The sequence below is a fragment of the Homo sapiens genome, chromosome 1 (genome assembly GCF_000001405.40).
Source record: "Homo sapiens chromosome 1, GRCh38.p14 Primary Assembly".
Lineage (NCBI taxonomy): Eukaryota > Metazoa > Chordata > Mammalia > Primates > Hominidae > Homo > Homo sapiens.
In genome coordinates, this window is record NC_000001.11 from 40,961,028 (window position 1) to 40,984,355 (window position 23,328).

At 46.8% G+C, this 23,328-nt stretch overlaps 1 protein-coding gene across 10 annotated transcripts in view, besides 5 other annotated features; it reads left to right on the forward strand.

The window, feature by feature from the left end:
* Positions 13,950-14,244: a silencer, noted in NCBI's record as "tiled region #12776; K562 Repressive DNase matched - State 8:EnhW". NCBI's record gives its function as "represses a minimal TATA promoter and a strong SV40 promoter by Sharpr-MPRA in K562 cells {active_cell/tissue: K562}" and the evidence as "EXISTENCE:reporter gene assay evidence [ECO:0000049][PMID:27701403]".
* Positions 18,458-18,647: a silencer, noted in NCBI's record as "silent region_738". NCBI's record gives its function as "represses an Ori minimal core promoter by ATAC-STARR-seq in GM12878 lymphoblastoid cells {active_cell/tissue: GM12878}" and the evidence as "EXISTENCE:reporter gene assay evidence [ECO:0000049][PMID:35858748]".
* The window catches only part of CTPS1 (CTP synthase 1), a 32,870-nt gene continuing 28,210 nt past the window's right edge, over positions 18,669-23,328 (forward strand). For 4 of the 10 annotated variants that reach the window (NR_125440.2, NM_001905.4, XM_047447471.1 and 1 more), the window contains exons 1-2: positions 18,669-18,802; positions 22,251-22,429. Coding sequence is in view for 9 of the 10 variants with exons in the window: in NM_001905.4 (NP_001896.2) it covers positions 22,264-22,429 (166 nt within the window). In the remaining variant the exon portion in view is untranslated. Of the gene's footprint in view, positions 18,803-19,002; positions 19,535-19,564; positions 20,968-21,012; positions 21,085-22,250; positions 22,430-23,328 lie in introns of those variants that run through there. The other 6 variants (XM_047447461.1, XM_047447469.1, XM_024453561.2 and 3 more) reach the window with 4 other exon arrangements.
* Positions 18,918-19,207: a silencer, noted in NCBI's record as "silent region_739". NCBI's record gives its function as "represses an Ori minimal core promoter by ATAC-STARR-seq in GM12878 lymphoblastoid cells {active_cell/tissue: GM12878}" and the evidence as "EXISTENCE:reporter gene assay evidence [ECO:0000049][PMID:35858748]".
* Positions 19,278-19,417: a silencer, noted in NCBI's record as "silent region_740". NCBI's record gives its function as "represses an Ori minimal core promoter by ATAC-STARR-seq in GM12878 lymphoblastoid cells {active_cell/tissue: GM12878}" and the evidence as "EXISTENCE:reporter gene assay evidence [ECO:0000049][PMID:35858748]".
* Positions 19,618-19,667: an enhancer, noted in NCBI's record as "active region_858". NCBI's record gives its function as "activates an Ori minimal core promoter by ATAC-STARR-seq in GM12878 lymphoblastoid cells {active_cell/tissue: GM12878}" and the evidence as "EXISTENCE:reporter gene assay evidence [ECO:0000049][PMID:35858748]".

Sequence of the window (23,328 nt, forward strand, 5' to 3'; positions counted from 1 at the left end):
AGGGAGGCGGAGGTTGCAATGAGCCAAGATCACGCCACTGCACTCCGGCCTGGGAGACAGAGCAAGACTCCATCTTAAAAATAAAAAATAAAAATAAATATGTAAAAATCCTAGACACCAAAGCTAGCTGAGATTCCCTGGTCAGCAACACTTCATCCATGTTTTCAAATATCATTGCTGGGAGAATTAGGTGCTATCTATGTGTCTCCACTGGAGGACAATGAGAACCTTGAGCCTGGTTTCTCCTGGACTTCTCCCAGGCACGTTTTCCCTTTATTATTTTATTTATTTATTTATGTTTTCAAGACAGAGTCTTGCTTTGTCGCCCAGGCTGGAGTGCAGTGGCGCGATCTCGGCTCACTGCAACCTCCACCTCCCTGGTTCAAGTGATTCTCCAGCCTCGGCCTCCTGAGTAGCTGGGATTACAGGTATATGCCACCACGCCCAGCTAACTTATGTATTTTTAGTAGAGACAGGGTTTTGCCATGTTGGCCAGGCTGGTCTCGAACTCCTGACCTCAAGTGATCCGCCTGCCTTGGCCTCCTAAAGTGCTGGGATTACAGGCGCGAGCCCAGCCCCTTTATGATTTTAATCTGTATCCATTCACTGTAATAAATTTAACCCACGAGTATAACAGCTTTTCTGAGCTCTGTGGGTCCTAACAAATCATTAAGCCTGAGGGTGGTCTTGGGAACCCCTCACACAATATTAATATGTGCCAACAGCATTTATGGATTTAAAGAATAAAATTCACCTTTGCAAAAGTGAAATTACAAATGGTTTACCAGTGAACCAAGCTGAAGTTATTATTTGAATCCTAAATAAAAAATTATTAAGGCTACTAGAGCAATATCTGCATATGGTTGAAAAAAAATTCATCATGATTTGAAAATACTTGACATGGAAAAAATGCTATTGTATTCTAAAGCCCTTTACATTATTACAAGAAACTTTGACAATACATCTTGTTGCTCTCAGCACTTTGGGAGACTGAAGCAGGTGGATCACCTAAGGTTAGGAGTTCGAGACCAGCCTGGCCAACATGACGAAACCCTGTCTCTACTAAAAATACAAAAATTAGCTGGGCATGGTGGTGTGCGCCTGTAGCCCCAGCTACTCAGGAGGCCAAGGCAGGAAAATCGCTTGAACCTGGGAGATGGAGGTTGCAGTGAGCTGAAATCGTGCCACTGCACTCCAGCTTGGGCGACAGAGCGAGAAACCATCTCAAAAAAAAAAAAGAGAAGAAAAAGCAGAGCTATTAGATTTAGACAACTTTTGCATGGTTAAAGTACAATTCAGAGGATCCTTATTTTATTAAGGACAAGAAAGGAGTTGTTTTTTGTTTGTTTGTTTTTGAGACGGAGTTTTGCTCTCATTGCCAAGGCTGGAGTGCAATGGCACCATCTAGGCTCACCGCAACCTCCACCTCCCAGGTTCAAGCAATTCTCCTGCCTCAGCTTCCAGAATAGCTGGGATTACAGGCACATACCCGGCTAATTTTGTATTTTTAGTAGAGACGGGGTTTCTCGGTTTCTCCATGTTGGTCAGGCTGATCTTGAGCTCCCGACCTCAGGTAATCCACCCGCCTTCACCTCTCAAAGTGCTGGGATTACAGGTGTGAGCCACCGTGCCCGGTCAAGAAAGGAGTTTTTGACTGAGGAAAATGGTAGATATCACTGTCCTTTGCAGCACCTACTTGTGCAGAGTTTCTTGTTGATGGTGATAATCATGAATTTGAATAGAGCATAATTAGAAAAACAAAATCAGGAATTTTGTAGCCATTTCAAGTAAAAAAAATCTAAGATAAAAAAAGCATGTTCATGGAAGAAAGCTGATTTCTCATATAAAATTTGAAAATACGTTATTTGGAAGTTGTATTCTAATTAAATGTTTACTCTCTTATTAAATGCTTTGTACTTTATTTCTTTTCATGGTTATATACTATAAAGAAAATGTAGGCCAGCCGCGGTGGCTCATGCCTGTAGTCCCAGCACTTTGGGAGGCCAAGGTGGGAGAATTGCTTGAGGCTAGGAGTTTGAGACCAGTCTGGCCAATATAGAGAGACTAGTCTCTTAAAAATATAAAGATAGAGGCTGGGCATAGTGGCTGATGCCTGTAATCTCAGCACTTTTGGAGGCTGAGGTGGGTGGATCACGAGGTCAAGAGAGCAAGACCAGCCTGGTCAACATGGTGAAACCCTGTCTCTAATGAAAATACAAAAATTAGCTGGATGTGGTGGCGTACGCCTGTCGTCCCAGCTACTTGGGAGGCTGAGGCAGGAGAATCGCTTGAACCCGGGAGGCAGAGGTTGCAGTGAGCCAAGATCACGCCACTGCACTCCAGCCTGGTGATAGAGCAAGACTCCATCTCAAAAAAAAAAAAAGACAGAAAATGTAATTAGTCTTTTCACCAAATCTTTTTTTTTTTAATTTTTATTATTATTTTTTGAGACAGAGTCTCACTCTGTCTTCCAGGCTGGAGTGCAGTGGCGCGATCTTGGCTCACTGTAACCCCCACCTCCCAGGTTCAAGTGATTCTCCTGCCTCAGCGTCCTGAGGAGCTGGGACTACAGACGCCCACCACCATGCCCGGCTAATTTTTGTATTTTTAGTAGAGACAGGGTTTCACCATATTGGCCATGGCTGGTCTCGAACTCCTGACCTTGTGATCCGCCCGCCTCAGCCTCCCAAAGTGCTGGAATTACAAGCGTGAGCCACCATGCCCGGCCTTTGCCAAATCTTTTATAGACATTCCCAAATCTTGAGTTTATCCTAATGTGCTGTATAAACACTACCATTTTCCACATGTCCCATGGTGTGAAAAATGTTGGAAAGCACTGAGTTAAAATAGTTTGATTGCTGTAAAAAGATTCAAGATAATGGTGGCTTAAAAATACAGAATTTATGGCCAGGTGCAGTGGTTCACACCTGTAATCCCAGCACTTTGGGAGGCCAAGGCGGGTGGATCACTTGAGGTCAGGAGTTCGAGACCAACCTGGCCAACGTGGTGAAACCTTGTCTCTACTAAAAATACAAAAAAAAAGAAAAAAAAAATTGTAGCTGGGCGGCCGGGCATGGTGTCTCACGCCTGTAATCCCTGCACTTTGGGAGGCTGAGGCGGGCAGATCACCCGAGGTCAGGAGTTTGAGACCAGCCTGGCCAACATGATGAAACCCTGTCTCTACTAAAAATAGAAAAAATTAGTGGGGCATGGCAGGCACCTGTAATCCCACCTACTCGGGAGGCTGAGGCAGAAGAATCACTTGAACCTGGGAGGCGGAGGTTGCAGTGTGCTGAGATTGCGCCACTGCACTCCAACCTGGACAACAACAGCGAAACTCTGTCTCAAAAAAAAAAAAAAAAAAAAAATTTAGCTGGGCGTGATGGTGCACGCCTGTAACCCTAGCTACTCTGGAGGCTGAGGCAGGAGAATCGCTTGAACCCAGGAAGTGGAGGTTGCAGTGAGGCAAGATCGTGCCACTGCACTCCAGCCTGGGTGACAGAGTGAGACTCCGTCTCAAAAAACAAAAAACATAACAGAATTTTATTTCCCTCTCAGGTCACAATACAACTGTTAAGTAGTCCCGGGATGAGGGCGTGTCTCTGTAGCTCATCACTAGAATGCATCCGCCCAGCAGAAGGCAAAAGAAACCATCATCTATCTAGTTTTAAGTACTTTTATTGTTGCATTTGACATGTATTGTTATTTCCCAGTTCCCAGACTAGAGGCTCTGGGGTCAGGTAGCATCTGTCATTAGACAGCTGAAAACAGCAGCAGTTTTGGAGACAGACAGATAGATGGAGGTTCAAACCCCATCTCTGCTGATTATAAGCTGGGGATTTGGGAAGGTGTTTATCCTTCCTAAGCCTCAGTTTCCTCATCCATGAAATGGAGAGGAGAGAAACAACCTTAAAGGGCTGTCAGGAGAATTAAACGATGGGCATAGGTAAAGCATCCAGGACTGCATCTGGCATACGGCATGTGCTCAAGGGAGCTGAGGCTTAATCTGTCTCCTGGGTGCCTGGCACAGAGTCTGGAACAGGTGGGCCTGCATTTGGGTTGGTGGAGATGAACAGAAGTGAATTGGGCTCAGGGAGGGATGTTAATTCCCTAGCTCATCAGGCCTGTCCTGTGGGAACAGCAGGCTCTGGCAGCCACAGAAAGCCAGAGGTGAAGATTTCAGGAATGGAATTGGACAGGGTGATGTGCCCTGGAGGACTGAGGACATGGGCAAGGAGATGACAGCCTCCGCCACACCAGCTAATTTAACTTATGTTTTGGGAGAGAAATCTCTGGCTAGACCCTAAATGGAATCTGGGATGGGGAGGGACTGTTATCAGAAGTGGGCTGTGGCAAGCAGAAAAGAGTGATTGTCCTCTAGGCCTGAGGTGGGGTCAGGCTGCAGTGGACTTCTACCTGTCTCAGCAAATCTATTCTCCATTCCTCCCACACCGATAGACTCGACCTCGGGAGGTGATCGCCCTGCTAGGGACTACATTTCATGGCCTCCCTGCGGCTAAGATGTGGCCCTCTGCCTAAATGTGACAGAAGGGGAGTGGAAAACTTCTCCGTTACTTGCTTCAGAGGAAATTGTCCTTCCTCTGCTTCCTTTCTCTCCTCATTCCTGCGGAGATGTAAACGCAGACATGGCAGGAACCCAGCCTTGACCACGCGGATGAGGACAGCGCCCTGAGGGAAGGCACAAGGGGCGGCAGTTTCTCTTCTGCCTGGAAGAAAGACCTAGGTGAGGGCTGCGGCAGCCCCTGAGAGTGAGCAGTAGCAAGGCTTGGTCTATCACTGGCTGTGGGTGCGGGACTCTGCCAACCAGAATGGGAAGCCCAGAAGCTGCCAGAGAAAGAAAGGCAAGTAGCAGATCTACAACCTGGAAGGATTGGAAATTTAACATGACAGTTACAAGTGGAAACGTGGATGGTGTTTTAGTTGGGATATGCATTCAGCCGAAAAAACAGAGACCCAGACTTGCAGTAGCTTAAGCAAGGTAGAAATTATTTCTCTCTTGCCCAAGTGTCCACGCGTGAGCAGAGTCTGGGTCTGGTATGGTTGCTCCTTGGTGGCAGGGCCTGAGCTGCTTCTGTCTTGTTGCTTGTGTTGGTCCAAGTTTTATTTTCCACTTGGTTAAGCAGGAACTATATTTGTCAGAAGCTCCCTCCCTATGTAGTGGGATCTGGCCCACAGAGGAACTGGGATGAGAATGGGGAGGTGGAAGTGAAGGAACGGCCATTGTTTCCTGAAGGGGAGATTTGGTGACAGACAGATGCAGAGGTGTTTGGTGGGCTCCAGCTTGTCCTTACTTTCCTCTGCCCCACATTCAGCACCTCTTTCCCAATTCTGGGCCTGCTGACCACAGTGGCCCCAGGCCTGCCACCAGAGGCTTGGACTCACTCAAGAGGTAGCTACATAGGGGCTACAGTTTCCCAAAGACCTCTCCACAAGCTCCCCCTTTCAGTGGCTGAACGTACCTGGCTTCTTAGATTTCCCAGCACGCTCCAATGTATCCACCATGATAGTTCTTCAGGATTGTGACTCACCCCATCTTTGATCCCCTATTTCCCCACTCCAGACCATAATCTCCTCAGCTGCGCAAAGTCTAATTCCTGTTATCAATCCTTCATCCCAGCCGTGTAAATCAAAGTGATCCTCAGTTTTCTCCACTGCTGGCTGGGGTTTTGGCTATTTATTTATTTAGTCTACTCAGTCTTCATTCATTCATCTAATTTCTTGCTTCCAGAAGTTTTACTCCTGTCACCTTTCCTGTTCTCCCTGCCTTTAGAGATCTATGTTTTTTTCAAACGTTGCTATAGTTTTAGTGAGGTTTCAGAGGGGAGGGAAATTCAATGTTTGTTCAGTCTACCATCTTAACCCAGAAGTCTTCTCAACACTCTGTCTTCCTTCGTATGCAATAGGCTGTTTGCTGTTGTTGGTTTTCTTTTAACTTTTTAAATTAAAAAAAAAATTTAAGGCAGGCGTGGTGGCTCACGCGTGTAATCCCAGCACTTTGGGAGGCCGAGGCGGGCAAATCACTTGAGGTCAGGAGTTCGAGACCACCCTGACCAACATGGAGAAACCCTGTCTCTACTAAAAATACAAAATTAGCTGGGCATGATGGCGCATGCCTGTAATCCCAGCTACTTGGGAGGCTGAGGCAGGAGAATCGCTTGAACCTGGGAGGCAGAGGTTGTGGTGAGCCGAGATCATGCCATTGCACTCCAGCCTGGGCAACAAGAGCGAAACTTTGTCTCAAAAAAAGAAAAAATTTAAATTTCTTTAGAGTTGCTCTTTTTCAGAGCCTTGCTCTGTTGCCCAGCCTGTAGTGCTGTGGTGCCATCACAGCTCACTGTAACTACAAACTCTTGGGCTCAAGCCATCCTTCTGCCTCAGCTTCCCAAGTACCCGAGACTACAGGACTACAGGCATGCACCACCATGCCTGGCTAATTTTTAGTGTTTTTGCAGAGACAGAGTCTTGCTATGTTGCCCAGGCTAGTCTTGAATTCCAGGCCTCAAGTGATCCTCTTACCTCAGCCTCCCAAAGTACTCGGATTACAAGTGAGAGTCACCAGGCCCAGTCTGTTTGCAGTTTCCTAAACAGACTGAGCCTCCTGCCTCTGTGACTCAGCACATGATCACCCCTCCCTCTATTGTACCCCCCAAACCCCTACCCTGCCAGCCTGGCCTCCCTTCTTCCCTATATTGATGCCTGCCGATCCTTAGAGACAGTTCTCTGGGAAGCTTTTTCTGGTGCTGTGGGTGTGTTAGGTGCCCTTTCTATGAGTCCTAAAGCACCCCACCACTTTCCTCCACTACTGTACTGCTCCTTTCTCAGTACTGTAATTGTCTTTGTAACCCTGGTGTCTGCAACAATGCCTGGAATATGAGCAATGCCAATAAATATTTGGTAAATGAATCAACGAAAAAGATACCCGTTCTGCAGACTCCTTTGCTTTGTTTGCATAATGAGAATCAGAGGAAGATAATGTTTACCTAAAAAGGAAGAGGATCTGGCATGCAGGAGGGAGAGAGGAAACATGTACAACTTAAAGGAGCCAAGTAAAATGTTGTGAATTTTACTATTCTTAAATGATTCTCAGCTGGGCGCAGTGACTCACACCTGTAATCCCAGCACTTTGGGAGACAGAGGCAGAGGCATGCGGATCACAAGGTCAGGAGCCTGGCCAATATAGTGAAACCCCGTCTCTACTAAAAATACAAAAATTAGCCAGGCGTGGTGGTATGCGCCTGTAGTTCCGGCTACTCGAGAGGCTGAGGCAGAATCACTTGAACCCGGGAGGCGAAGGTTGCAGTGAGCCAGGATTGTGCCACTGCACTCCAGCCTGGGCGACAGAGCGAGACTCCATCCCCCATCACCCCCCCAAAAAAGATTCTCAGAACTTTAATAGATGACCATACTATTCTAAGTTTAGCTGTAAAAAGAGCCTTGAGAAAACTAATCTATGGTATTCAAGGTCAAGGTAGTGTTTATGCTTGGGGAAGTGGTAATTGGAAGGGGAACTAGTAGGAGCATCTGGGTGTGGGCAATGTTCTGTTTCTTGGCCTGGGTACTGGTTCCATGAGTGTGGCTAAATACATAAAGATTCATCATGTTGTACACTTATGATTTTACACTTTTTGTATTTCTGTTATACTTCAAAAAAAGTTTACAAAATATAAAATTTTTTAAACGGCAAAACTACAGCATAAACCATTCCTAAACCTCTTTCTCCAGAACACATCATCTCCATCACATCATGCTTGTCAGTCTTTCCAGGTCTTTAAATCTCCAAACAGATGGGTGGGGTTTTTTTCATATCCTCTTGAGTTCAGATTAAATATATATTGAATGCAATTATTTTAAAAGGTTGGGTCATTTAAAAAACTCTCATTATGGGCTGGGCACAGTGGCTCACGCCTGTAATCCCAGCACTTTGGGAGGCTGAGGCGGGCGGATCACGAGGTCAGGAGATTGAGACCATCCTGGCTAACACGGTGAAACACCGTCTCTACTAAAAATACAAAAAATTAGCCAGGCATGGTGGCGGGCGCCTGTAGTCCCAGCTACTCGGGAGGCTGAGGCAGGAGAATGGCGTGAACCCGGGAGGCGGAGGTTGCAGTGAGCCAAGATCGAGCCACTGCTCTCCAGGCTGGGCGACAGAGCAAGACTCCGTCTCAAAACCAACCAACCAAACAAACAAACAAAAACCAAACCAAACAAACAAAAAAAACCCTCTCATTATGTACAACAGGAATCAAGGTGCTAATTATATAAACGTGGGAGTTGTTGGATACCCTATGAGTCCATATTTTCTCACAGATTTAAAAGGTGTTTTTCACATGATCATCGTACTCATGACAGGGGCATGAGTTGTTGCTCTTGGAGGCAGCAATATCTCTTAGATAGATCTTGGATACAGATATCTGGAGACCCAGAATTATAACTATTGAGTTTTAAAAATGTATTGTGGCTGGCCCTAGATTTTGAAATTATAACTATTGAGTTTTATGCACATATTATGGCTCCATTAAGGGCTTGCTGGATGAAAATCTTTCTGAAGATTTTCCAACCACAGTCTGGTTGGAAGCGGGTGGTGGAAGCTTGAAGCTCTGTTTGCATAATGAGTGCAGTTTTTATGTTGATTGTATGTTTGAGGTGGTTCTCCCAGGGCTTATGGAAGTTTTTTTTTGTTTTGTTTTTTTGAGACGGAGTCTCGCTGTTGCCCAGGCTGGAGTGCAGTGGCATGATCTCGGCTCACTACAGGCTCCCCTCCTGGGGTTCACGCCATTCTCCTGCCTCAGCCTCCCGCGTAGCTGGGACTAGAGGTGCCTGCCACCTCACCCGGCTAATTTTTTTTATTTTTAGTAGAGACGGGGTTTCACCGTGTTAGCCAGGATGGTCTCTATCTCCTGACCTCGTGGTCTGCCCGCCTTGGCCTCCCAAAGTGCTAGGATTACAGGCGTGAGCCACCACGCCCGGCCCGGCTTATGGAAGTTTTATGGAGGCTTTACCACCCCTTCTTGGGGCTACTGAAGCTGAAAAGGGGCAGTTCTTTCTTTTGATCTAGAAAGTGGCAAGTGCAGATCATCTCAATAAGATGTTTTAAATCTTGCGGCAAAGGAATAAAGAGACGGTTCTGGGCCGGGTGTAGTGGCTCATGCCTGTAATCCCAGCACTTTGGGAGGCCGAGGCGGGCGGATCACAAAGTCAGGAGATCGAGACCATCCTGGCCAACATGGTGAAACCCTGTGTCTACTAAAAATACAAAAAATTAGACGGGCATGGTGGTGCACACCTGTAGTCCCAGCTACTCAGGAGGCTGAGGTGGGGGAATCGCTTGAACCCACAAGGTGGAGATTGCAGTGAGCTGAGATCGCGCCATTGCACTCCAGCCTGGCTACAGAGTGAGACTCCGTCTCAAAAAAAAAAAAAAAAAAAAAAAGAGGCGGTTCTGGAGATCAGGTGAGGGGTACCTAATTAGCCAGAGAGGCTTGGAGGGGTTCTCACAGATGGGGTTGCTGAAACAAGTCTTGTTTGCCATGTGTTTTTGAACCCTAAAGTCAGAATATATGATCTAAAAAGTATTCATTTCCTTATTCTTTCTTTTCTTTTCTTCTTTCTTTTCTCTCTCTCCTTCTTTCTTTCTTTTTTTTGTCTTGCTCTATCACCCAGGCTGGAGTGCAGTAGTGTGATCATGGCTCACTACAGCGCTCAAGTGATCCCCCACCTCAGTCTCCCGAGTAGCTGGGACTACAGGCACTTGCCACCAGTCCTGGCTAATCTTTTTTAAAATGTTTTTGAAGAAATGAGGTCTCACTATGTTGTCCAGGCTGGTCTCAAACTCCTGGGCTCAAGCAATCCTCCTACTTAGGTCTCTCAAAGTGCTGGGATTACAGGCACTGTAAATGTGCCTAGCCCATTTATTTTCAGTAAGTCTCATAGGGGTACAATAACAAAATCACAGTTACATATGTACACATTTTATTAACAATAGCTACATTCCAAGAAATCAGAACTAGCTCACCAAATATGGGTTGTATGGTGATGTTAACTATGGTCTATTTTTCAACTAAGAATTCCTTCTTATGTTTGACAGCATATTTTAAAAAGTGGCTTTTTCTTTCTCTTTTTTTTTTCAGACAGAGTTTTGCTCTTGTTGCCCAGGCCGGAGTGCAATGGTGCGATCTCGGCTCACTGCAACCTCTGCCTCCCGGGTTCAAGCGATTCTCCTGCCTCAGCTTCCCGAGTAGCTTGGATTACAGGCATGCGCCATCATGCCCGGCTAATTTTGTATTTTTAGTAGAGACGGGGTTTCTCCATGTTGGTCAGGCTGGTCTCAAACTCCCGACCTCAGGTGATCTGCCCACCTCAGTCTCCCAAAGTGTTGGGATTACAGGCATGTAATCCTGTACCCGCCTAGCCATTTCTTTCTTTTACTACATTTTTCCCTTAAATGTGCTATTGAGGTACTCGTGTATAATTATACTGTATGTTCATATATAATAGTAATATACACTATTATAGGCCCTATATGAAACAGATGTCTCTGTCAGATTATTCTGACATTTCATCATGTTCCCTATAAAGGACATCAATTAGTTCTGAGGAGAATATGAATTTTACCCCCAAGCTCATCTGCTTGTTGACAGCCTTTCAATTTAACCTGATGTTCAGAGTAGCATCATTCCATGTATCTCTCAGAGTGTAGTATTTAATTCACTGCCCCTCAAATCTCCCCAGCAATCAGGTTGGAGAACAACAAAATCACATGCAGTGACACTGTCACCAGCCTTTATTGAAAGTCATCTTAGGCCGGGCATGTTGGCTCACGCCTGTAATCCCAGCTTTGGTAGGCTGAGGTTGGCAGATCACCTGAGGTCAGGAGTTCGAGACCAGCCTGGCCAACGTGGTGAAACCACGTCTCTACTAAAAATACAAAAAAATTAGCTGGTCATGGTGGTAGGTGTCTGCAATCCCAGCTACTCTGGAGGCTGAGGCAGGAGAATCACTTGAACTTGGCCTGGGAGGTGGAGGTTACAGTGAGCCAGGGTCATACCATTGCACTCCAGCCTTGGTGACAAGAGTGAAACTACGTCTCCAAAAAAAAAAAAAAAAAAAAAAAAAGGAAGTCATTCTAAGGAACAGGCCTGTGACCTTTGCCTGTATGTCTGCTGTATAAATGCTATTGAGACTTTTCATCCTTACATTGTATATCCTATATCCTCTCCATGAAGACTCACAGGGGGAACTGATTTCTGAGCTCAGTAGCAGAAATAATTGTCCTTTTAATTAATTCAATAAACATTTACTGAGCATCTACTACATGCAGCCATATGAGAGCTGCTGGGGATATACTCGTAAATGAAATACAGACTGGTGGGGAAGACAGAAAACAACTACCCAATTACTCCACCAATTGTTAGAATTTTGATAAATGCTGCTAGGAAAATTAGTGAGGACTTGGAGCTGGTAAAGGGACCTGGGGTCAATGAAGGGTTATTTGAGGAAGTGATATTCCTCCTGAGCAATTGTTGTATAGTCACATTGATCCTCTTCACTTTGGCTCCTAGGAAGTTAGTCAAATTTGTGACTCTCCTCTCGAAAGAGTTTGTGATCTAATTGAATTTCTGGACTCATTTATTTGTGTAACAAATGACTATTGTGTGCCACAAGCAGCTAGGCACTGGGCGTATCACAGAAAATCAGATAAACAGGTCCCCGACCTCACAGAGCTTGTAGACAAGTGGGAGATTTGGGCAAGGAAGTGGATTATTAAAATAAAATTTGTTCTTTTAAAAATGTATTGTGGGTACATAGTAGGTATATATATTTATGGGGTACGTGAGATACTTTGATAAAGGGATGCAATGTGTAACAGTTACATCATGGAGAATGGGGTATCCATCCCCTTAAGGATTTATCCTTTGTGTTACAAGCAATCCAATATTATTATTATTATTATTATTATTATTTTTTTTTTGAGACGGAGTCTCACTGTGTCGCCCAGGCTGGAGTGCAGTGGCGCGATCTCGGCTCACTGCAAGCTCCATCTCCCAATTTGTGCATGGCCTCATACATCATAGAGTGGTTTTGACTTTATCCCGAAGGTAATGGAGTGTCATTAAAATAGAAAATTCCTATTTTTCCTTTCCTTTGCCTCATTTTTTGCTCACATTTTGTAGACACACACACAAGTGACTTTAAATCCTTTCTTGAACAAAGTGGTTCACACCATTCTCCTGCCTCAGCCTCCCCAGTAGCTGGGACTACAGGCGCCCGCCACCACACCAGGCTAATTTTTTGTATTTTTAGTGGAGACGGGGTTTCACCGTGTTAGCCAGGATGGTCTCAATCTCCTGACCTTGTGATCCGCCTGCCTCGGCCTCCCAAAGTGCTGGGATTACAGGCGTGAGCCACGGCGCCCAGCCCAATTATACACTTTTAGTTATTTAAAATGTACAATTAAATTATTACTGACTATAGTCACCCTGTTGTGTTATCAAATACTAAGTCTTTTTTTTTTTTTGAGACAGGGTCTTACTCTGTCACCCAGGCTGGAGTGCTGTGACATGATCTTGGCTCACTGCAACCTCTGCCTCTGTGGCTCAAGTAATCCTCCCACCTCAGCCTCCCCAGTAGCTGGGACAACAGGCATGCACCACCAGGCTCAGCTAATTTTTTTGTACTTTTTGTAGAGATGGGGTTTTGCCATGTTGCCTGGGCTGGTCTGAACACCTGCACTCCATCAATCCACCCACCTCGGCCTCTCAAAGTGCTGGGACTACAGGCGTGAGCCACTGCACCCAATCTACTAAGTCTTATTCATTCTTTCTAACTATATATTTTTTGTACCCATTAACCACCACCTTCCCCTCTGCCTCCCTTAAAATATAATTTGGTAAGTGCTATGCTCTGGGACGTCCCAGCAGCAATAAAAGAATGGGAGAGAAGTGCTAACCCCAAATGAGGGAGAGAGTCTGCCCAAAAAAATTACTTTGGGGAAGTGAAGACCAAGTTGAGATGTGATGTGATGTTAGCAAGAAAAAGGCAGGAAGCAGGGGGGTAGGTGAGAGCCAGCAGAGGTCTATGCAACGATTCATATGTGGAAAAGAATACATGGCATGTTCAGAGAACTGAAAGAATCATTGTGGCTGGAGCATGGGGTGGGTGATGTGGCTAGAGAGGTAAACTGAGGCCAATTTTTGCATGGCCTCATACATCACAGTGTGGTTTTGACTTTATCCTGAAGGTAATGGAGTGTCATTAAGATGAAAAATTCCTATTCTTCCTTTCCTTTGCCTCATTTTTTGCTCACATTTTGTAGACACACACACAAGTGGCTTTAAATCCTTTCTTGAACAAAGTGAGGACATAAACCAACAAATTCACTAAATAACATAATTACAGCTAGCTCAAGTGATGAAAATCCAACATCATACAGTCATATTAAAATAACATACAGCCAAAAAGAATATCTACATATGCACAGAGTGTGCTTGAAGGATAAACCAGAAACTGGTAATAGTGGTTGCTTCTGGGAGGAAACTTGGGTGGCTGGGGAACAGGTATGGAAGGAGAGCTTTTACTGTGTATTCCTTTTTAACACTCGAATTTTACGCCATTTACATATCTATTAGAAACTAAATAAAACATAAATAGCCCCAATCTGGGAAAAAAACAACAAATCTATCACTAGTTGTAGGCTCCCTCCTGCCCCATTTCTCAACCAGATAATCCATTAGAATGCCAGACTAGAGTGACAGCGTATTCATATAAAAGTAGAAAGCTCGAGGAAGTCCTGGAGAAGAAAAAATAAGCAAGACTTGATGATGGGCAGAATGAGGGACAGAAACAGAAAGACAATCCAAAGCAAACCTTCGCGTGTGCTCTCAGGAAGGTGTTTACATGTGTTCAGTCTTGGCTCCATCGTCTGTAATATAGTAATAATGACAGCACTTGCATTATAGGGTAGTAGTGGGAGTTACAGATGCTAGATGCTGGTTACTAAAAGGTCCACAAGACGTACTTGATAAGGAAAGTGACACACAGAAAGGCTAAGTAACCTCAAAGAGATTCCAATCTGGTATGGAGGAGACAGATAAGTGAACAGGCAATCTCAGCAGGCTGTGATAAACGCCTCAGAGGAAGCACTGGGTGTGCCACGGAATGTGCGGGAGGCACCCTGTCTTAGCCTGGGTTCCCTAGGAAGAAAGCCGGAGGTAGGTTCTTGAGTCAGCGAGTGACTGAGGAATAACCTCAGGTGAAGACTGTGAGGGAGCGAGGGGAGCATGGGGCGGGGAAAAAGTGAGACAAAGATATGTGTTTAGCTCAGGAGTTGGCACATTTTGGCCTTCAGACCCAAGCTCTATTTCTGTAAAAGAGTATTTTGTGAACACAGCTATAGTTCTATTGAAATAAGTCACATTCATTTAATCGATATATTATCTATGGCTACTTTTGCACTATGAAGGCAGAGTTGAGTGATTGCAAGAGACCATATGGCCCACAAAGCCTAAAATACAGACTGGTTCTTTTCAGGAAGTTTGCCTCAGCCTGATCCCACGGGGAGCTCTAGAGCACCAATGGGATCATAGAGTTGGCCCACGTGTAGGCGAGGCGCCTGGCTCACCTCAGGACCTGGGCTTGGAAGAGAACTTGGGGTTCAGGACACATCCAGCCTGGGAACATCAATTTGGGAGTAGTCAGAATAAGGATTTTTTTTGTTTGTTTTGTTTTTTAGACGGAGTCTTGTTCTGTTGTCCAGGCTGGAGTGCAATGGTGCAATCTCAGCTCACTACAACCTCCGCCTCCAGGGTTCAAGTGATTCTCCTGCCTCAGCCTCCCGAGTAGCTGGGATTACAGGCCTGCGCCACCACACCCAGCTAATTTTTGTATTTTTAGTAGACGGGATTTCACCATGTTGGCCAGGCTGGTCTTGAACTCCTGACATTGTGATCCGCCCACCTCGGCCTCCTAAAGTGCTGAGATTACAGACGTGAGCCACTGCGTCTGGGCCAGATGGTTTTAATGACTAGATAATGACTTTAGAGAGAAGGGATCCTAGAACTGAGGCTTGGGGCAATGTTTATAGTTCAGGATAGAGGAAAAGGAAGAGGATCTAGGTAGGGAGATCTAGAAGGAGAAACCTGTGAAATAGGAAAAAATGAACAGCAAGTGGTTTCCTAGAAGCCAAGTAAAGGACACCCACCTTTTAAGGAGGAAATGATCAGCTGTGACAAATGCTCTTAGGGAAGTGGTCAGTTTGGGGGCAGCTCTGGGGCTGTATAGCTGCACCTAGGAGCCCAAAAGGAGACTGGGCCTATGGTGGGGGAGAGAAGCAGCCCAAATATGTAAATACATACACATGCGCACGTGCACACACACATATGCATTCATGCCATGCACATACAGCCACACTGTTGTCTATTTTTTTTTTTTTTTGAGACGGAGTCTCGCTCGTCGCCCAGGCTGAAGTGCAGTGGTGCAATCTTGGCTCACTGCAACCTCCGCCTCCCAGGTTCAAGTGATTCTCCTGCCTCAGCCTCCTGAGTAGCTGGGACTACAGGCGCCTGCCACCACGTCTGGCTAAGTTTTGTATTTTTAGTAGAGACGGGGTTTCACCATATTTGCAAACTGGTCTCGAACTCCTGACCTTGTGATCCACCCATCTCAGGCTCCCGAAGTGCTGGGATTACAGGCATGAGCCACTGCGCCCAGCCCACTGTTGTCTTTATTTGGGACTTACGGACATTAGAGATTGGAGTCTAGGCTGATGTACAAAGAAGAGGTCTGAGAACATGGAGGTTAATTTTTGACGAGATCAGTTTCAGTGAAATTATATGAGCAAAATATCCAGATTGGAATGAGTTCAAGAGAGGGAAGAAATTGAGACAGCAAAGTACAAACAACATTTTTTAGGAGTTGTGCTGAAAAGTGAAACAGAAATGGAGGGGGAGCTAGAGAATGGCATAGAGTCAGGAGAGGGGTTTTAAGATGGAACAAATTGCAGCATGTTTGCATCACGGTAGTGGAAAAGATCTACTAGACAGGGAAAGACTGATGACGCAGGAAGGGACATTCTACTAGACATTCTTGAGTTGATGAAAGGATATGGCACTTGCATACTAGACATTCTTTGAGTTGACAAATGGATATGGCACTTGGAGCAAAGAGGAGGTTGACCTCTGGGAGTGTGGGCAGTTTGTCCACAGTAACAGGAGACAACGCAGAGCTTGTGCGCAGATAAAAGTGGTTGGTGGATATGAAAAATCTACTGATGGCTTCTATTTTCTCGTGAAATGGGAAGCAAGACCACCAGCTGAGGAGAATATGGGGGAGGAGATGGAAGAGCTTTGAGGAAGAAGACAATGTCAAGTGGTCATTCAGAGGAGTGGTTGGGTGAATGGCTCATTTTTCCATCTCCCATAGCATCTTCATTACCTCAGCAAGTATGTTCTCAGCATCTGTTATGTTCCAGGCACTTTGATAAACATCAAATGCTTCTTGAAAGAAGATGTGGCTGTAGAGTACCTTCAAAGACAACCCAAACTTTTTTTTTTTTTTTTTGAGATAGAGTCTCACTCTGCCCAGGCTGGAGTGCAGTGGTGGGATCCTAGCTCCCATTGGCCTTGAATTCCTGGGTTCAAGCATTCCTCCAGCCTCAGGCTCTGGAGTAGCCAGGACTACAGATGCGTGCCACCATGCTCAGCTAATTTTTGTATTTTTTGTAGAGATGGGGTCTCACTATATTGCCTAGGCTGGTCTTGAACTCCTGGACTCAAGAAATCCTCCCACCCTGTGTCAGCCTCCCAAAGTGTCAGGATCACAAGTGTGAGCCACTATGCCTGGCATTCCAAACATTTTTTAGATTTGGAGCTGAATGCAGCATGGGCAGGTTGTCAGGGTTGAAGCACTGGTGATCCAGATCTGGAAGGAGCCAGAAGCCTCTAAAAGAGGCCACTGCAGGAGCCTCCTGACCTGGTTTCTGGGAATCCATCTGCTTCAATGATTTTCCTAAAACACAAATCTGATCCCATCACATCTTTTTTTTTAAAACTCCTTCAGTGAAGATAGTTAAGAACTTGTGGCAGACTGCTTCTAGAGAACAAAACAGGAACACTGGGGTACAGAAATAAGAGATTTACTTTTCATGGATACCCTTGTGTAGTGTTTGGGGAAAAATTATAACCATGTACATATATTCACTATTCAAAGGAAGGTCAAAAGCCTCTCAAAAGTTTCTACAGCTTTCCACTATCCCTAGGAGAAAGAGAAGCCTTTACTTGGTCTATAATGCTCTTCACCGTATGGCCCTACCCAACTCTTCAACCTAATCTCATGTTAATCTCGCTTCCTGTGGCCCTTGTGGACTTGGCTAGACTGGCCTTCCAATTCAGCTGTGCCGGCCTCTTTGGGCTTGTACACAGGCTTTTCCTTCTGCCTCACTTTTAAAAAAAAATTATTATTACTATTTTTATTTTATTTATTTATTCTTTGAGAAGGAGTCTCGCTCTGTCGCCCAGGCTGGAATGCAGTGGTGCAATCTTGGCTCACTGCAACCTCCACCTCCCAGGTTCAAGCTATTCTCCTGCCTCAGCCTCCTGAGTAGCTGGGACTACAGGCACCCACCACCACGCCCAGCTAATTTTTGTATTTTTAGTAGAGACGGGGTTTCACCATATTGGCGAGGCTGGTCTTGAACTCCTGACCTTGTGATCCGCCTGCCTCGGCCTCCCAAAATGTTGGGATTACAGGTGTGAGCCACTGCGCCCGGCCTACTATTATTATTTTTATAAGAAACGGGGTCTCGCTATGTTACCCAAGTTGGTCTCGAACTGTTGGGCTCAAGCATGTCTCACTTTCTTATCCCCGCCTCTCCCTTTCCCATCTTTGCCGTCTACTTAGGTCTCTGCTTCAAAGTTACTTTTTCAGGGCGGGCTTCCCGCCTGAATTCCCAATCACCACCGGACTTGGGTCAGTCCCCGCGCTGGGCACTCACTGCCCCGGCACCAGCATCTCTGCAGCAAGCACCCATAACAACCATAAAGTGTAATGAGCTGCTCAGTGTGCCTCCCTACATCGTTAGTCCGAGGAGAGGGTCCCTCGGTGCCCAGCACAGTGCGTGGCACAGTCGGTGCTCAGGGAGCGATAGCTAGATGAAACCGTACTTTTCGGGATCCTAGTCCATCCAAAGCAGCCGCCTTCGGGGCAGGTGTGGGGAGGAGGGAGGCCGACGAGGAGCCAACGCCGCGCGACCCTCCGCACTTCCGTCTTGGAGGCCAGGGTGGCGCTGCCGCCGTCCCTCGCCCGGAGGCAGAGATGCGCTGGCGCATCACCGCCAGGAGCCCACAGTGAAAGACCATCGGATGGAAGGCGACGCCCAGAACTCCAGGAGACCGCTGTGGGAGGACGCGAGGCCAGGTGACGAATAGGCCAGGCGTGAGTTCCCAAACAGCCTCCTCCCCTTCAAGAGAGTAAGCTTGGGCCACAGGCTGGGACGGAAGCAGAGGGGCAGACACGCCACCACCCGCCCGGCCTCGAACCTACGGCGGCACAGTTCAGCGGAGGCGGCCCAGCGGTCCTGTCCCGCGCCTGCGCACTCCAGGCCCCGCCCCGCCCCGCGCCCTCCAGGCCCGGCCCGCCCTCCAACCTCTGCGTGCGCACAGCCTAGAGCCCGCCTCCGTGAAAGACTGCCGGGCGCATGCGGTCGGGGTTGTTCACTGGCTGTCCGGGGCTCCGCGCGCGTCGCCGGCCCAGCTCTGTCGCTGACGGGAGGATCTGAAGCCGGCCGCAGGTAGGCTGACTCCAGGGATCCCGGGGGGGATCTGTTCTCCCGCGCAGGAGTCAGCGGCGCGAGCTGAGCCCGGCGCCGAATAGCCCCGCCGCCGCGGTGACGGACGTCGCTCCTACCAATCAGGGGCGAGGTGACTCGGCGTCCTGCCCAATGGGCTGTGTGCCTAACGGGAGTGGGGCGGGCGCCCCGGCCGGCGAGCTGCCGGCTCCCGCGCGCGGGCCTCGTGGCCGGGCGGCGCTGGGGAGAGGGGCCAAGCGGGGCGCGGGGCGGCTTCAGAGGCTGCGGGGCCTGCGCTGCCGCGCTGGGCCGCGCCGAATCAGCTCGGCCGGGCTCGTCGGACGGAGAAGGCCGTAGGGGAGTGGAGCGGCGCCCCCCCCCACACCCTCCGCCCTTGCTCTTCGTCTGCGAGGAAGCCCGGCAGTCGCCCATCCATTCAAGCAGTGCGGGCCTCGGGCCTCCGGCCTCGGCGCGGGCTCAGCCGCCCGGGGCTGGGCGCGGCAGCTCCGCGCCGTAGGACGAGGGGGCCTGCGAACTCGCCGGCCCTGGGCCCCGCGGCTGGCCTTTGGGCCTCACGGCTTCCTCCCTTCCCGGCGGCCGGGGGTCGGGGCGCTGGCGGTGTATAGAGCTCACCACGTTTGCGTGGCGCCCTTCCGTCCACGCTCGTTACAGTTTCGAATCCTCAGCGGCCCTGTGACGCGGGCGGCGCAGAGATTCTCACCCCCATTCCCCTAGGTGAGAACCCGCGTTGCAGGCAGCTCAAGTGACATGATTGAGGTCTGCACACTAGTGATGGGGGCTGGCACTTCATCTCATAACATTGAAAGAAAAAGCATTTCCCCCCTCAGTCTTTGTTGAATTTCTCTGATGCGTCTTGATTTACGTTACTTCTGTGCCGGAAAACCTTCTTGCGCCTTCCGTCACCTTCAGGATTAAGTTCAGATTGGGCATGCCAGTTTGCACATGATCTGGCCCTTGCCTACCTTTCCAGTTTATCTTCCACTGTATATCCCTGCTTCCCCGCCTTCCCCCTCACGGCCTTACCTCTGTTCTCTGTAGCTGCCCTGCACCTGCCTGTTCACCCTGTTCCCTTTCCTGTGCTCTGAGTCGTGCAGTCAGTCCTTCAAGGCCCATTGCAAGTCATATCTACAAAACAGGAGCCGCCTGGATCCGCCCACTACCCCCAGGACTTGTCTCACCTTCCTCTGATGGCCATGGTACTGAAAGCGTCTGCTCTCATCGTCCCCCTTTATAGTCTAAACATGTTTTCTGTCTGCTTCCACCGTCACTGAATTACTCATTTATTTGTTAATGTTTCATCTCTCCAACTGGACTGCCAGAAAGTTGAGATATGGGCCCAAATCTGATTAATGTTTGCAGTCCCCAAGCACAGTAGCTGTCATGTAAGTCAGTAGCCCATAAGGATGAATGAATGAGCCTCCCGCCTGATCTTTATGTACACTGGCATATGTATTGCCAGGCACTGAGACTGCAAGAATCTAAAGAGAGAAACTAAAGAACGTAAAGAGAGATGTTAAACTCTTAGAGTAAAATTGGGACAAATCAAATGTAATTGGATGAGATGAATCTTTTGTAGAAGTAACTCACTCGGTGGCAGAGGAATTTCTAGGATCATCCAAAACTTAGGGAGACCAGGGTATAGTCTCAGTAAGGTATATGTCTGGTTAGAACATATCTAAAATGTACCTAAGACTGATTTTCATGTGTCAATAAGGAACTGTAAAGTGAGAGACTTAGGGTCAGATAAGCTTGGAGACACCGCATACTGTATAGCAGTGATCACAGTGCGAGTTTACTTGCTAAACACTCCCAGGATTCTTGCGTTAAATGACTTGGTTTAATCAGCGTTTCTCTGATTTATATCCATAACACCCTTTTTGAGAATCCCATGTGCATTTTGTTGAAACCAGGGAGCATGCTTTTGGAAATGCTGCAGCAGAGGATGCAAAGAGCCTTTGGAGCGGGGAAGACTTCTGAGCATTCTTCCTTCCCTGCCAAGTGTGTTCTTTCTTGCTCTGGGGAGGGGGTGGGGCGGGGGAATGCTTCGAGCACAACTCCTTAGTTTTCTTGTTCCTTAGTTTATTTTTATCATAATTTGGCTTCACATGGAACGTTCCTGAGGAGGAAAATGTCCTGACCATGCCAAAGTAAGCATTTTCTGCTACTTTCTAATTGTGTTTTTCATTTTGGTCACATTTGGGTTTGCTGACCAAATGGACGATCCTGGACCTCTGAAGCTGGGGACCAGTGATAAATCCTCCGTGGTGAGCCTGTCACGGTCTCCTCACCTCTTGTCGATGCTGTTTTCACCTGCATCTTGACTCTGCTGCCCTTATATCTTATTTCTCCTTTCCCTGCCACCGTGGCACTGCTTTTTGGATTTAATCTCATCTCCCCTCTCTTTGAGTCCTCTGCCCGTCATGTGCTTCAGACTGGTTTCTTATCTGATGTCCCTCTCCCCCAGTATTTACAGTCTCTCTTCATTGCATGCCTGGGAGAGATTTCTGACAAGGAGCAAGTTGTTGTTAAATTATAGAAGAGAACTACTTTTTCTTTTTTTTTGAGGTAGTCTTATTCTGTCGCGCACGCTGGAGTGCAGTGGCATGATCCCAGCTCACTGCAACCTCTGTCTCCTGGGTTCAAGCGATTCTCCTGCCTCAGTCTCCTGAGTAACTGGGACTACAGGCGTGCGCCATCACAGCCGGCTAATTTTTGTATTTTTAGTAGAGATGCGGTTTCCCCATATTGGCCAGGCTGGTCTCGAACTCCTGACCTCAAGTGATCCTCCTGGCTCTGCCTCCCAAAGTGCTGGGATTACAGGCATGAGCCACCATGCCCAGCCAGAGAACTACTTTTAATTAAAGGAATTTTGGTTTAGCTGCAACCACTTTTAAATGTTGATGTTCTTTCCTTTTAGTCTATCTTTTGTAACCTAGAGGAGCTGTGTTTTCTTGATGATATGTTGTAGTTTAGCCAAAGACATTATTTATTTCCTGGAGAACTGGAGTACTTATCCAAGTTTGAATTTTTTTCCCATGTAGGGAAAATAATGAGGCACCTGCCTGGTATCCCAGTGTCTGGCAGTGATGTCAGCAAACATTTGGGGTGTAGTGTTCTATCAGCCAGCTTAGAGCTGGTTTTATTAGGTTGACTCTGAAGGTTATTAGTTGTCAAAGCTTTAAACAAAAGCTGTGTTATTAGAGTAGCAGTTGTTTTTCTACACGTATTTGACTAAAGCCATTCAGTGATCCAAGAAATGTTTGTTTTGATCCTATTTAAACCTGACGAGAACCTTCTGAAGTCCTGTGACAGAGAAACTGAGGCTTCAAGAGGGTTCATAGCTAATAATTGGCAGAGCCAGTGTTTGAACCCAGATGAGTTTGGTTTGTTGAGATACATTTATATCATCTGTAATTTTTCCTTCTTCCAGGTCAAAGAGTAAAATGAAGTACATTCTGGTTACTGGTGGTGTTATATCAGGAATTGGAAAAGGAATCATTGCCAGCAGTGTGGGCACAATACTCAAGTCATGTGGTTTACATGTAACTTCAATCAAAATTGACCCCTACATTAACATTGATGCAGGAACATTCTCTCCTTATGAGCATGGTAAGCACAGTGGATTTCTTCATAATAATTGCATGTGGCAGAACATGTCAGCACTTGGGAATTATGTGCACGGTTTGCATAACTTTTATTTTCTGCCTTCTAACAGGTCCCTTAATACAGCAGAATGATACTTTTCTCACCTAGAAAGGAAGAAGCAGAATTCTTTTTTTTTTTTTTTTTCTTTGAGACAGGATCCCACTCTGTCCCTCAGGCTGGAGTGTAGTGGTGTGATCATGGCTCGCTGCAGCTTCCACCTCCTTGGCTCAAGCGATCCTCTCACCTCAGCCTCCTGAGTAGCTGGGACTACAGGTGTAAATCACCATGCCTGGCTAATTTCTAAATTTTTTGTACAGGTGGGGTTCCACTGTGTTGTCCAGGCTGGTCTTGGGTCCTCCCACCTGTAATCCCAAAGTGCTGGGTTTTATAGGTGTGAGCCACCATGCCCGACTGCCTTTTACTTCTTTGTTGTTATTGAGAACCTGTCAATGGTGTGACATACAGCTGTGGCTGTTACTTCAAAGATTAATTGCTTAAAACTGGGAGAGATGTTAAAACATACCTCTTAAGTTTTAAAATTCTGCATTCGTACTCCTACTCTCTAGCGTTGAGGTGAAAATATGCAAGCATTAAATGTCACTAGTGCAGAAATCCTCGTAACAAATGGCATCAGGAAAAGATCCATATACCTGAGTGATATTTAATACAGAATTCTTGAGCAGAGGATGAGTTATCTCTCTGAGGGAGAAAATGAGACTTTTTTTCCTTTCCTGTGTTTGAGCTTGTCTCCTATTGTGATGGTAGGAATGAATCATTCTGGGCAAAATTTCTAGAGTGAAGTTTCATGGAATGAATGTGCAACAAAAGAATGGGGTAAATATGTGCAGTTTCACAAAGTTGTT